The sequence below is a fragment of the Homo sapiens genome, chromosome 3, assembly GCF_000001405.40.
Source record: "Homo sapiens chromosome 3, GRCh38.p14 Primary Assembly".
Taxonomy (NCBI): domain Eukaryota; kingdom Metazoa; phylum Chordata; class Mammalia; order Primates; family Hominidae; genus Homo; species Homo sapiens.
In genome coordinates, this window is record NC_000003.12 from 182517866 (window position 1) to 182534051 (window position 16186).

The 16186-nt window shown below is 38.7% G+C and overlaps 1 annotated feature.

Annotated features, from left to right (window-relative positions):
- Window positions 5291–6490: an enhancer, noted in NCBI's record as "MED14-independent group 3 enhancer chr3:182240944-182242143 (GRCh37/hg19 assembly coordinates)". NCBI's record gives its function as "activates an origin of replication core promoter dependent on BRD2, BRD4, P300/CBP and CDK7 cofactors, and independent of MED14, by STARR-seq in HCT116 cells {active_cell/tissue: HCT116}" and the evidence as "EXISTENCE:reporter gene assay evidence [ECO:0000049][PMID:35650434]".

Genomic DNA, 16186 nt, shown 5'->3' on the forward strand with positions numbered 1-16186 from the left:
CCCACTGCCCCCATGACCTTCCTATAAGAATTCAATGGCCTTTCTATGACCCCCTACCTCAGCGTAAGATTTTTTCCCAAGCACTTTCCTTTTACTTTCTGAATTCCATGGGGGGAATCTAACTCCTTGCTTCAAAAGTATCTAAAGCTTTTCCCCTCCTACGTCAGAGTCCATACCCAAGGAAGCGGAAGTAGAAGATGACTCTTCAAGAGATTTATCCCCTGCTGTTACATGTATACATACAAGATACATACATATGGAATGCATGGGAAAGGAAGGCATTAGAATTCCACCTGAACTTTCTGTGCTTAAAAGATTAGAGGAGACAGTGTACAAAAAGAGAGATCATTGATTCTCCGCCCACTGCCTTGACTCTATGTGTGTTTTCTATTTTGATACTGTTGCTCCTCTTATTCACATGCTGTTTAAAATATACAGCTATAGACCCAAATATTTTTCCTGGGAATGATGACACGGCAAGTATTATTTCTCTGAAAGAAAAATATAAAATAATTAATGCTCTTAAAAGAAGAGGAGCATAGTAAGTGGGGCCACTCCCTTCTCCCAAAACTGCCTGTTGTATGTTCTAATGGCCTCTATGTTTGTGTGAATTGTACAGTAGCCGGACTTTAGTTCTCACATACACATTCTGGTCAACAAATCCAAACAAACAAACACGAAAGCTTCAATTCCCTTTTAAAATACCTTTATAACTTTTTAAACTGACAAGCCACATATTCCTATATTTCACGATGGAAAGGTGGAGGGGAAATTTTTGCCAGAATAAGATTTTGTATTTTATGTCAAATTGTATCTGGAAGCTCATTTAAAAAGTGGAATTATACACCACCCACCCCCCAAAAGCAAGGATTTGAGATGAAAATGCCAAAATAACTTTAATTATAGGTTTGTTGGAGGTGTGATGTTAAAATATCAGTCAGTGGAAAACGTCGCATTGTTAACCTGTCACTCAAAAATTTTGAAATTTGTGTTATACCATTACTATTTATTTGTACATTCTTGGTTTCCAATGCACATACTTGCTAGGATAAGAGCCCAAGTCATTATAACAAGCGATCCAACATTTTCACATTTATTTTAAAATTACAATTGAATATAAATTGGTGTAGGCTTGTTAATGCAGAACCTTGGTTTCACTTATTGCAGATTTTCAAAATTAGGCTGAAATCATATATGATTTTTTAATATAAAAAATAACAAATTTTAGGCCGGGTGCCGTGGCTCATGCCTGTAATCCCAGCACTTTGGAAGGCCGAGGCGGGTGGATCACAAGGTCAGGAGTTTGAGACCAGCCTGGCCAACATGGTGAAATCCCATCTCTACTAAAAATACAAAAATTAGCTGGGCGTGGTGGTGGGCGCCTGTAATCCCAGCTACTCAGGAGGCTGAGGAAGGAGAATCGCTTGAACCTGGGAGGCGGAGGTTGCAGTGAGCTGAGATCGTGGCACTGCACTCCAGCCTGGGCAACAGAGCAAGACTCTATCTCAAAAAAATAAATTTAATTTGACCTATAATCTGTCTGTTTTTCTACAAAATTTAAAATAATATTGTGGTATCGGGAGTAAAAAATATATAGTAGCCTCTAACATCAAGCTAGACTTATTGTAGCTAATAATTGGTTTTCTCTGCTCCCTATTCCAAACCGCATAAGAAAGGAAACCATGGAAACTGCGCCACCATAAAGCAAAGCTTTCCAACCTCAGCTGAGCTCTCACTGATCCTCAAAAATGGTTTTACACATCCCTTGTTGACTAATTATTGCAGGAGGCCACAGTGGCTGTTTTAAACATTCGTCAACCTCCAGGGCCCACCCTTAACTTCCTTCAACTTAACCTCACTCCTGGGAGATGACCTATGGGCCAGTTTCACTGAGGAGGGCCAGGCAGCATGAGCTCCTGGTGCTGGTGCGTGACCAAGCTAGACCTGGGCTTTGGGCTGCCTGGCTGGGTCTAGGAATATAACTGGCTGAAGTTCTCCCTGCCTGCATTCCCTGCTCTGATTAGGCAGCCTCAGCTTGACAGTTCATGCTTCCTTAAGGCCTACATGCTGCTGCCTGGTCCCAGCTAACCTTGATCCCTATTCCATCACAACTTTATTTTTTAATTGACACATAATAACTGTACATATTTATGGGGTATGGTGTGATGTTTCAATACATGTATTCATTGTATGAAAAATCAAATCAGAGTATTTAACATATTCATTTCCTCAAACATTTATCATTTCTTTGTGGTGAGAAGATTCAAAATCCTCTCTTCTCGCTCTTTTGAAATTTAGAATGTAATATTGTTAACCATAGTCACCCTACTGTGCATTTTTAACAGCATTTTCTCTCTTCTGCCGGTGGCCCCATTCTTGTGTCTGAGAACACGGCTAGCTCTTCCTTATCCTTACAGATGTCCTTTGAGGACTCTTCCTCTACCATCATTTCCACTTCTCTGAGGCTTTATCTTTGGCTTTCGTCCTTAGTTCTCTCTCTTTTGCAGCCTCTGTCTTCACTCTCTTCCTTAGAAATCTGACTACATATAAATGACAATATTTATCAAAATGAAGAAGTTGAGAAGAAGTACCAGTTTGATGAGAAAAGAGAATTTTAGTTTGAGGGACTAATTTCTCAGTCCCTAAACTCACATTTCTCACTTTCAGAGCCATCAATTAATTCCTCGAACTAAAATTATTTTTCCCCATCAGACTAGCACTTCTCAGCTTCCTCATTTTGATAAATATTGTTACTAATGTTCCAGAGCCATGAGTGTTCTTTCTCTCTCCATGGCCAATAAATTACCATCACACTTAGAACAAAATTCAAACTTCTTTCCATGGCCTAAAGCTCTCTATGTAATCTCTGACTTCATACCCATTTACCAGATGGTTTGATTTCTTTCCATAATTTCTCCATTCTGGCCTTGTATCTGCTTCTCAAACACATTAAACTTGTTCTCTCCATGGGGTTTCATGTGGCATTTCTCTCCTCCAGGTAGTTTCCTGTCATATGGCCAAAATATCACCGCATCAGAGAGATGGTCCCAGAAACTCTGCTACATCACACTGTTTATACTTTCCCCATCACAACTCTCATGACTGGTATTAAACTCTTGTTTATTTTTAAACTTGTTTATTGCTCATCTCTCTTCTCTAGAATAGAAGCTCCCTGACATTAGGAACCTGTATATTTTGCTCACTACTATAACTTTGTGGACATCAGTGTCCCATAGATCTCAATAACTATTTGTTCTAGGAATTAATGTATAAGTGAAGTCTGATGGATTCAACTGTCATAGCACCCCTCAAATCCATCCTGCCTTTGTCTTCCCACTGATACCACCATAGATCAAGCCCTCATTATGCAATACCTTGGCACTGCCTGAGACCTTTCATGTCCCATCAACACTTCATGCTTCTGATCCTATTACCCTCTTGACAAGTGTTTAACAAATGGAACATTTCATAACCCAAATTAAGTATAAACTTATTACCATAGCTTTTAATATCCATCCACTTATTCAATAATCATTTTAGGCACAATTGTACAAAGAAGACACTGTGTGGACTGTTGCACATATGAAGACTAAGTATACCACATTAGAGAGTTCTGTTATAGATACGTGCCGCAGAGTTGAAGATGAGCAGAAGAGAAAACCCTAAGTTAGCCTGTAGGAAGTGATACTTCAGCTGACTCTTGACCAGCCAAGCAAAATACGTGAATGCATGTGTTAGAAATGGGTAGCTATTTTCTAGGAAGAGAGAATAGCATATGTAAAAGTAAACAGAGCATTGTGAGCTATGTTTGATGATTATGACAATTGGTCCAGTTTGGCAGGAGAATGGGGGGTTTTGCCAGAAGAGCAAGAAGTGAAGCAGATTGTTCAGCAGAGACCAGATCAGCAAGGACCTTGAATTCTGTGCTAGCAACAAAAAGGCAGAATAGAGTGGCAGTTAGAAGCATATGCCCTGGACTAAGACTGTCTGGGCTTAATTCCTACCCCAACTGGACAAATTCATTACCATTTCTATGCCCTTGTTTCCTCATCTGTTAAGTGGAGATAAAAATATAATAACAGTTACCTATCTCATAGGATTATTATGAGAATTAACATATGAATTAATATATGTAAAGCAATTAGAACAGTACCTGGCACATAATAAACACACTATTTTCCATTGTTACTCTATAAATAATGGGAAACCATTGAAGAATTATATGCAGGAAAGTGACCTAAGATCAATATCTCTTAAAGATAATTGTACAGTAGTATATAAAATGAGTCTTAAGGAGAAAGAAACTGGACGTAAAAAAAAAATCAGTTAAGATTTAAAATGATGGGTAGCTAAACCACAGCAGGAAAAAATGGGCGGGCAAAAGAAAAGAGAGGCTTGAAAGCCATTTAAGAAGCAAAATCAGGAGAATTTGGTGACGATGATGTACGTGGTAAGGGTGAAAGAGCTATGGATGATTTCCAAATTTCTGACATGGGAGATCAAGTGTGTGGTGGAAGTGGTAAGCAGAATCAGAAGCACAAGAAGAAGGACGAATTTTGGAGGAGAGACAATAAATTCAGCACATCAGTGATAGGCTGATGTTGTGATACCCACAGAGCAGACGTGAAAGGCTTCCACAAAGCAATTGGAATATGGGCCCAGAGCTCAGAATAAAACCTTTTGAAACTGCATGAGCAGAGACATGGGGTATGAAAAATAAAATCAGAAGAGGTACCTAGAGACCACTGGAGAACACCAACATGAAAGGGGAAAGACTCTCATGAAGTAAGAGGACAGCAAGGTAAGAAGGAAATTGTGGAAAGGAGTTTTAAGAATAAGGGGGAGATCGGCTGGGTGCAGTGGTTCACACCTGTAATCCCAGCACTTTGGGAGGCCGAGGCAGGTGGATCACCTGAGGTCGGGAGTTTGAGACCAGCCTGACTAACATGGAGAAACCCCGTGTCTACTAAAAATAAAAAAATTAGCTGGCCGTGGTGACACATGCCTATAATCCCAGCTACTCGGGAGACCGAGGCAGGAGAATCACTTGAACCTGGGAGGCAGAGGTTGTGGTGAGCCGAGATCATGCCATTGCACCCCAGCCTGGGCAACAAGAGCAAAACTCCATCTCAAAAAAAAAGAAGAAGGAGATCAACAATATCAGACCTTAGATGTGTTGCCTAAGATAAGAACTTTAACATGCCCACTAGATTTGCAGTTGTGTCATTAATGAATTCAGTGAAAGCAGTTACAGAGGCAAGATAGAAGCTCACATCAGGCCACATTGAACAGTTCAGAAGCCAAATGTGAGGGTAAGAAAGAAACTTCAGACAGATCTCAGGAAGCTGAGGTATGAAAGAGAAAAGAGAAGGTGATCGTTAAAGAGGAATACAGGATAGAGGTAGGTTCTTTCTTTGTTTTTATTTTACTTTAAGTTTTGGGATACATGTGCAGAACGTGCAGGTTTGTTACATAGGTATATATGTGCCATGGTGGTTTGCTGCACCCATCAACCCGTCATCTAGGTTTTAAGCCCCACATGCATTAGGTATTTGTCCTAATGCTCTCCCTTCCCTTGACCCCTACCCCCCGACAGGCCCCAGTGTGTGATGTTCCCCTCACTGTGTCCATGCGTTCTCATTGTTCAACCCCCACTTATGAGTGAGAACATTTGGTGTTTGGTTTTCCATTCCTGCATTAGTTTTCTGAGAATGATGGTTTCCAGCTTCATCCAGGTCCCTACAAAGGACATGAACTCGTTCTTTTTTATGGCTGCATAGTATTCCATGGTGTATATGTGCCACATTTTCTTTATCTAGTCTATCATTGATGGGCATTTGGGTTAGTTCCAAGTCTTTGCTATTGTAAATAGTGCTGAAATAAACATACCTGTGCACTTAGCTGTGTTGGTGTGTTGAGGAAAAAAATGGCAGACTGAGAGAGAGAAATTCTCAAGTTCTTTCTGTCGGCCTGTCCCAATATTTCCAGTTTTATCTCACACTTCTCTCTATCTCACTCCAAATGCTCCCAAACTGGAACTATGAAGTTGAAAGAAAGCACTGGAAGGAGAGGAGGTAGACAAGAAACCAAGAATCCCTGCCTCATCATTATGCCTCCAGCCAGCGCCAAATACCTGAACTGCAACTGATGGATGATTCAGCTATTTCTCCAGGTGTGTTGTCACATATTTACCCCACCCAGACTGAATGCTGTTTGGGATTCAGAGGGTGTGTAAGGGAATGTGCATGTGCCTTGGAAGAGAAAATGCTCCAAGTGTCTTAAACTTAATGATGAAGCTTAATCCCTCCCTCAACGCCCACAAAAAGCTTCTCTATTCTTTTTTTTTTTTTTTTTTTTTTTTTTTTTTAGACGGAATCTTGCTCTGTTGCCCAGGTTGGAGTGCAGTGGTGTGATCTCGGCTCACTGCAACCTCCCGCTCCTGGGTTCAAGCAGTTCTCTGCCTCAGCCTCCCAAGTAGCTGGGATCACAGGTGCCCACCACCACACCCAGCTACTTTTTTTTTGTATTTTTAGTAGAGATGGGGTTTCACCATCTTTGCCAGGCTGGTCTTGAACTCCTGACCTCGTGATTCACCAGCCTCGGCCTCCCAAAAAGCTGGGATTACAGGCATGAGCCACCGCGCCCGGCCAAAACTTCTCCATTCTAAACAAACATTTGTCTATATATTGAAGATTCTTAGTGCACTTTAAATAAATTTCTAACATTTAGCTACAAATTTATTTAATGCTCATTAATATCATTCCCATTAGGGAAGGAAAAAAAATGAAAGAAAAACTAGTCTTTTCAAAGAAGTCAACATTCTTCTTTCTTGCTCTCATGGCACCTATGCTTCTCATAAAGCATTGTGATCTTATAATCCTCTTCCACCTTGGGCCTTCTGGATCTCGGCCTGCTTAATTAGCTCTCAAATAATAGCTACCAACATGGTGCCTGAAGCAGATCACCTGGCTGTATGACCTTGAGCAAGTCACTTTACTTCTCAGAGTATAAATTATTTACTCAACCTACTTTCAGCTCAGTTACACTGTGATCAAATAGCATGTTAGATCTTTATCACCCGCTCTTCCGCAGGTGAGGCATACTGCAAACCTACTGAAAAAAATCTTTTGGGATAGGTAGGAGAATTCCTGTTTCAGTTTCAAAGTCACAGCAGAAAGTTGAAACTTGCAGCTTCGGAGGAGCTTACAAGGTCATTCTAAATAATGGAAAGATCAAATAATGTTACTGCAAGCTGCTATTGTAATTCATTCTTCCATAAAGATTACTTCTGTTGTACTAGCAAGTTCAGCAAGACCTTGGGTTATCAGCCAAATAAATGCCACTTCAGTAAGTTATTGCTGCCTGGGGCCAGCTTTAACTTGCATCGTCAACTTTTTTCCTGTCTAAAGTTCTACTGTAAGTTTTGCATTCATAAACCATATTCCCTCTTGGCTTTATTGCTTGCCCTCTTGACATTTCCCCTCCTCCTAGTTACTAAAGAGAGCCCCATTGTGTGCACTAACACTTGAGAGCTTCACCCAGTGATGTCAAAGAGTCACATTCAAATAGTTTTTGGGGATAGAACAAAATGCAAAGGCCCACTGAATACTTTCTTACTATGTGAAAATAGCTGTCTGTATCTTTGCACCACAGTTGTGGGAACTCTATTTAAAAGAGATGTGTTCAAAAGTATATAACTGTGGCTCCCATGTGTGATCATGAAACAATAGAGGAAGAATAAGTTCTGTGACAGTTTTTCAGATTTATGGTTCTGTGCAAAATTTACCAACTTTCCATTACTTGAACTGAATTCAAAATGGGTTCGGAAAATGTGGTGCTTGCCTAAATGACAATAAATGATAAATTTTGTTTCAACAGTCTTTCCCCCCAACCCCTTTAAATTGATGGCTAAGTGTATAACAAAAGGAGAAGACAAAAAACAACATATACATACTTGCCTGAAAAGGCCAAAAAATGCCACCCACGTACACAGAATACCACACACAGTTGCTTTATGAAGAAAAGTCAGATGCCATATAGGGTAACTATTGAATGTTGATGACATTTTTCCAACTCCATACAAATTAATCCTGCTAAAGTGCATCCAGCTTGTTTTTGTCAGTTTCTCTCCATTTAATTGTCAAGTGCAGACTCAAGACACATCCTAGGAACGTCCTTCATAAGAACATTTCTCTCAGTGCTACTTAAACATGGCCTCTCATGTACATGCTCTGCGTCACTGGCCTTTGATAGTCAGTAAAGTGTTTTTGTTTGAAGAAAAATGAGTAGAATAAGCCTCTTCTAGGAAAAATCAATGGGTGTAAATAGGTAGTGGAAGGTGAGAGTACGAAGCCCAGAAACTTAATGTGCACTCTTTTTGAGGACACACTGTTCTCCTAGGATATGAAAATGCCTGACATTGCCCTAATATGTTCCCCTGCATCCTGAATTGTTCTAGAGCATCTTCCACTAAGTTGCTGGAACTGATGCCTTTAAAAGCATCACCCTAGTCCCTCATGTTAATAAACAGAAACCTGGTTAATCCCCACAAGGCAGATTATACTGATTTAAAGAAGGGAGGAAGGGATTCTTGTACTTATATCAAATAACAGTATGTCTAGAATGTTTGGGAATTGATAACTCGGCAGAGTTCTCAGCAGAGAAATAAAACGACACAGTAAAGTTTTGTGTTCTCCACTTTGCCTCCTTTGCTTAACTCATTCTCTCTTTGCAACCCCATGCTAAGCATTTATTTATTAATTCAACAAATGTGTATTGAGGACTAACATGTGCCAGGTACTGTTCTAGGCACTGGAATGAAATAGACAAAAATTCCTGCTTGCATTCCCCACCGCTCGGAACTTCTGAACCAAGTCAAAGAAGAGCTGTCTTTTCTCCCTCAGATCTTGCTGATCTGCACTTTCACTGGGGAAGAGGGTCAATCGTTTAAGAAAAAGAGGGTTCTCATTTATTAAACAAAGGTCTTCAACAATTATTCACTCATTCACCCAACAATTATTGATGAGCATCATGTAGATGCCAGGATCTGAGCTTCATACTGGGAACAGCAAGATAAAAAATACTCAGTCCTTGGCTTGACAGGAATTATATATATATATTTGTAATGTCTTTCATGTGAACAAATTAACCATTGATAGTTTTCAAATTAAATTTGAAGTTTCGAAGTCTGCTGATAGCTGGGAGTTAACTGCTTTTCCTTTTTCCCAGGCCAAGTATTTCTCCTGATGCACTTAAGTACAGACTCTGGGGATAATGGCCATGTTTTGAAAATATGCTATTGCCCAGCTTAAAAGGGGTAAGATAGACTTGGATGTGCATCTGAGTGTTCTCACTCCATTTTCTATAGTCACAGCTCTTGCTATGTTTTCAATTAGCTACAGTAACTAAAATTAATATTGCATTACACTTTTTGGATCGTGCTTTAATTTAAGCAACAATAATGATCAGTGCATAAAATAGCCCAAGTCCTTTGTTTAGGGCTTGGTGAATAGAACCATATGCCTGACCTCAACCCTTTGGGGAAAGGACATTCAGACAGTATTTTCAGGGCCCCTCAACTTTTTTTTGTTGTTATTTTCCTGTTGCTTTTTTGGTCTATGTAACTTTGTTTACTCACTATATGTGGGGGGTGAGGGTGGATTTAGAGGGTTTTACTTTACTTCTGGAATTATGGCATTTGAGAATGCTGGCCATTTGTCATCTATTAGTCCTCTTTTCTGCTAAGTGTTTATTCCAGAAGATTTTGGTTGAGTTGTACACGGAAATTAATCCGATTAATCCATTTTTCTTTTCTTTTTTCTGGCTGATTGTGTGTGTGTGTGTTTGTGTGTGTGTGTATGTATGAATTAGCGGATAAACAGATATACTTTAAAGTGTTGAGATCTAGATATTCCACCTAGAGTAGGTGTTTGACAATCTATAATCCCAATGTCCTATGGGAGGCCTGCAGGGCCCTGTTAGAAGATCTCTGTCATTCCTCACCAAGGGATCATACTATGGATTTGAGCCAGACATTCCTGAGAGCAAATCCTGGCTGTCCCTCTTAGCAGTGTGTAGCTGGTCAAGTTACTTATTGACCTCACTGAACCTATCTGCTCATCTACACAATGAAAACAATAAATGTTCCTGACCTTGCTGGCTGGGTTGTAAAGATTAGAGATAACACATGTGTTGAACACAACATGGAACCTCTATGATAGGCATTCAATAACTGGCAGGCATCATAAACATTATTGATTTTGTTTCTTCCTTTTCCTCCATTCTTTTCCTTGCTTACATCACCTGACCTCTCCCATTTCCCTTTTTTCCCTTCTTCTTGCTTTCTCATTATCCTGTTCTCTACTCTCTCCTGCCAGTGTCTCAGCTCTGTGAGTGGTGTCCATAGGCATTGCTCACCCACCAACAAAGCTCAGAGACAAAGGTGTTATGGAATCTATTCTATATCACCAGCTAAAGGAGAAACAACCAGAGAGAAAGCCATCCAGGAAATATTGTCTTATGTAGACAACATCCAGTATATTCAATCAATGCAGCATAGCTGAAATTATCCTGTTGCCCAACAATGCAGATTTTTTTTCTGTGGGTAATATCAATCCTCAGAAATTTAGCATTTATTTGTTCATTTATTGATCCATTATAAAATCTGTTAAAGATATACAATGTGCTGAATTCTCTACTAAAGTTAAAGTTGTGAAAGGTGTGTTTCTTATTTATCTTTGAATCAACTCACTGTACTGATAGTTGCTGAATAAATCGCAAGTGAATGGTGACCCAAAGCTTCCAGTTTTGAAGACACTGAAGAGAAAAAAGTGAAATTTTTATTCATGAATGTAGGTCATACATATTATAGTTTCTTTTTCAATAAAATGAATCAGTAACCTCTACATGTTGGTCTCTGAACTGGATGCCAAAATACAAAGATGAAAAGATAAACATGGTCTCTGCTATTCATGCATTCATTCATTCATTCAGTAAATGTTTTCAAATGCCTACTTTGTGCTAGAATTGAACTACGGGCTGCAGATACAACAGCCCTGACAGAGATTGACTTGTACCCTGACCTCATGAACTTTATTTCCTAGTATGAAAACAGTAAAGTAAAACAAATGAACCAAAAGAAAAGAAATAAAAGAATTACAAATTATGAGGAGAGCCATAAATGAGGCAACAATGGACTAAGATGGACAGGACATCTACTATAGATAGCTTAGTAGGAGACGGGATGAATAATCTGATCATTATAATTCAATATTTGCTTCTCTGCCTGAACCTACTGGTTCATCATTCCCTCCTTCACCCTTAAAAAGTTTTGCAGAAGCAATAAAATATTCTAAGCTCAGTAAAGAAGCAAACAGTACGATGTGAACATGACTGAACGAGCAAACAGATCTGTGTGGGGTCTCAACACTAACCCAGAAATACAAGAGAGCAAGTAATACATTTAGAATAAAGGCCAAAGGGACCACAAAAAAAGGGACAGTAATAGGGGCGGAATTGGTGGGGAGCCATCTTCTAGCCCAGGCCTGTGCCAAGTGGCAGCAGCCCTTATTAGATATTGTCATCAAAAGCATCATTGTGGCACCAAGACCTTGGATCTGCATGTGTGATTTCTTTCTTTTTTTTTAGACAGTCTTGCTCTGTCACCCAGGCTGAAGCACAGTGGCACAATCTCGGGTCACTGCAACCTCTGCCTCCCTGGTTCAAGCGATTCTCATGCCTCAGCATCCAGAGTAGTTGGGACTACAGGTGCACACCACCACTCTTAGTTAATTTTTTGTGTTTTTAGTAGAGATGCGGTTTTGCTATGTTGGCCAGGCTGGGTTCGAACTCCTGGCCTCAAGTGATCTGCCCACCTCGACTTCCCAAAGTGCTGGGATTATGAGCATGAGCCACCACGCCAAGCTGATGTGTGATTTCTTAGTAGCATCTCAGTGACCCTGGGGGTGTCTGTAGCCTGATCTCTGAGACTGTCACTTGTCCTGCTGCCAAAGGAGTGCTATTTTGGCATTGGACGGCCTAGGCTCACAGTCCAGCTCTGACACTCATTAGCAGTGAGATCTTGGGCAAGTCGCTTCCCATCTCCAAGTCTGTTTTCTCTTGTGTGCAATGGATCTATTTGTCAGATCAGAACTACAGAAAACAAAATCCTTGCTAACTAATTAAAATAAGAAGAAATGTATTACTGAGTCACTTTCCAAAGCATGAGAAGAGTTGGGTAAATAGGCCTCTGCTGTTTTCTGAGACAACCACTTACCTCTGGCATCTTCCTTACTAGCAAGATAGATGCCTCATGCCGAATCTCTCTCCCTATATTCCACTTTATTACTAACCCAAGTCTTGTGAGAGTACAAGTGGTAAAATTGGAATTGCATCCAACCTCATAGCTGCAAGGGCATGTGGAAAATATCATTGCTACTTGTACAGCCTCTGCAGATGAAGAAGGCACGCCAGAAGGGGTGGGAAAAAGCAAAGCAAGCCTATCCATACAATTTGTCATAAGGGACAACAATGTATCCATTACAGGGTTATTAAAGAATTGGTATTTATGAATATGTTTCCATTTAGTAAACACTGACTTGACCTGATGACATCAGCTAGCACTCCTTGTCCTCTGACACCAGGTGCCAAAGGTACTGAGTCCAGCCTGGGAGCCCGGCTCTGAAACCCCATACATCTACCAATGCCCTGAGGCTGGACCTTGCTTCCTGTCTGATGGACCTTGCTGGCTTACAACCTGGACCCCACCCAGAAAGCCAGAGATTCCTGCCCCAAGCAACTTTATGTCCACGAGGTAGAGTGATGAGTACTCAAAAACCAGAAACCCAGAAAAGGAGTGAAAACGTAGAAGGGGGGTCACTAATTCTGCCAGCAAGTGTTAGGTAAGACATCACATTTCATCATCCTTGATAATACATAATGCAGTCGGTAGAATAGAATATTACTTACCAAGAAAGACCTCAAAAAGTTTCAGTGCTTCAGCAAAAGAAATAATCAGCAAACAGACAACCCACAGAACAGGAGAAAATACTCACAAACTATGCATCCACCAAAGGACTCCTATGCAGAATCTACAAGGAATTCAAACAAATCAGCAAGAAAAAAAAATGATCTCATCAAAAAGTGGGCAAAAGACATGAATAGACAATTCTCAAAAGAAGATATACAAACAGCCAACATACGAAAAAATGCTCAAAATCACTAATTATCAGGGAAATGCAAATCAAAACCACAATGAGATACCACCTTCCTCCTGCAAGAATGGGCCATAATTAAAAAGTCAAAAACAACGGATGTTGGCACAGATGTGGTGAAAAGGGAACACTTTTACACTGCTGGGGGGAATGTAAACTAGTACAATCACCATGGAAGTCAGTATGAAAATTCCTTAAAGAACTAAAAGTAGAACTACCATTCTATCCAGCAATCCCACTACTGGGTATCTATCCAGAGGAAAATAAGTCATTACACAAAAAAGACACATGCACATGCATGTTTATAGCAGCCCAGCTCACAATATCAAAGATATGGAACCAACCTAAGTGCCTATCAACCAACAAGTAGATAAAGAAAATCTGGTATATATAAACCATAGAATACTACCCAGCCATAAAAAGGAATGAAATAATGTCTTTTGCAGCAGCTTGGATGGAACTGGAGGCCATTATCCTAAATGAAGTAACTCAGGAATGGAAAACCAAATAGCATATGTTCTGGTTTATAAATGGGAGCTAAGCTATGAGGGCGCAAAGGCATAAGAATGATACAATGGACTTTGGGGACTCAGGAGTAAGGGTGGGAGGGGTTGAAGGATAAAAGACTACGCATTGGGCTCAGTGAACACTGCTCGGGCGCACCCAAATCTCAGAAATCACCACTAAAGAACTTATCCATGTAACCAAAAACCACCTGTACCCCCAAAAACTATTGAAATAAAAATAGAAATTAATTTTTAAAAAGTTTCACTGGTAAGAGCTACTTGTATGACATATAAACTGTTACATGAGAATCTAGACCCCACATACTAAGCTTGATCAAAAAGGAGGATCTCTCTGGGCTCTTAATCATTTTTTAAATCAAATTTTTAAAATGTAGTTTTTCTTATTATGAAAATAGTATATGCTTATTAAAGAAATTTTTGAAAATACTGAAAAGCAGAAAGAAAATAACAACTACATTTTATCTCATCACCCAGCATTAATGACTGTTAACCTTTTGGAAATATTTCCTTCTGAGCAAATATGAACCAAAAGAAGCTGGTGAACCCACATTAATATCATGTAAAATAGACTTTAAGGTCTAATAGTGCTAAAAGGCACTATTAGAAATAAGAATGGTCACTACATAGTAATAAAAGCTTCAATTCACAAGGAACATATAACAATTTTAAACTCTAAGGTATGTGTTATGGCTTCAAAATGTATAAATACAAACTTGAGCTATCAGTTAACGGAAGGTTATATGTTCATACACTTTAACACACTTCTCTCAGTAATTGATGGATCAAACAATCCAAAAACAGCAAGGGTATAGATTTGAACAACACAAAATAACAAGCCTGATCCAAAGGATATATTTTTAGAACACTGCATCAAACTACTTGTCAAACACACGAGGGCTATTTACCAAAATTAACCATGCATTAGGCTATAAAGCAAGTATAATACATTTCAAAGACTCTCTATACACCACATCCTCAGCCCACAATGTAATAAAGATAACTTTTCAAAAAGAACATAATAACAATCTATTTCATTGGAAATTTTAAAATACATTTTAAATAACTCATGGCAAAATAAGAAAACATAACGGAAATTATATTATTATATAATTTTAAAATAAATTATATATGAAAAATAAACATCAAAACTTGAGGGATGCAGCTAAGGTACTTCTTGGAAGAAAATGTATGTTTTGCATGCCCACAGAAAAGAAAAGAAAGGCTCAAAATTAAATAAGGTAAACATGTATATTGTGAAATTAGAAAATAATTAGGTTTAAACAAAGCCAGAATGTAGTCATTGAAAAGACTAATAAAATTGAGAAGCTTTTTAATAATGTTAATGAAGAGAAAAAAGAGAAAACAAATAAATAAACAATACTAAAAATGATGCGGCCATAACTACTGATGTTATGTAAGTTAAAAATGATAAATTAATAGTGTGATAACTATGCCAATACATTCAAAAACTTAGGTAAAATAGATATATTCCTACAAATACATAACAAAAGTGAATGAAAAATTTTTTTAAATAAAGAAAAAAAGGTATAAAACCTGAATAGGTCTATAACATTACGGTCCATCCCAAAAATGCAAGGTTGGTTTAATGTTAAGAAATATTATATTTCAGACAATGCAAGTATCACAATAAATAAAAGAGGACAAATAATCTCCATAAGTGAAAAATATCATTTGAAGAGATGTAGAAAAAAATTACAGGAAATAAATGCAGCAGTTATTTATGATTTAGGAAAAATAAAAAACAACTCTTAGCAAACTAGAAATAAAAGGACCTTTCTTAACCTAATAGCAGATAACCACAAACACCTACTACAAATGTCATACTTAATGGTGAAATGTTGGAAATATTCCTTGGAAACATGTTCCCATCACTATTACAGCATTTATTTATGAATTACAATGACCTCTTTACATGTTTGTCTCACCTCTCCCAGTTCCCTACACCCTGCCCCCAATGCTTAGTACAGTTCCTGGCACACTGCCAACATGCCATTCATGTTTGGTGAATGGATGGATGAATGAAGAAAGCAGAGTTCTTTAGTGATAATACGCAGGTTAAATAAAGGTTACCCAGTAAATTCTAATTCCCCAGTTGTATCAATTTAGCATTCAAGGGCTCTTTAAATGACATTTGAGAACGGCAAATGTATTTCCTTGTGACACTTAAGACATTCCAGATGACTGTTGTATCTCCCTAACTCTATTGGGTAAACATTATATTCCCAACTTGTTTTCATTTACTTAGCCTTTCTGAAAATCAGTTCTCTTTCTGTAAATGGGAATAATAATAATATGCTTGACTCAGAGTTGTTGTAAGAGTTAAAAGAATGCTTATGAAGCAATTAGCACAGTTCTTATAATCTAATAAGTACGCAACATATGTTGGTTATTGTTGTGTGGTTGCAATTATTAGTGGTAGTTGTGATT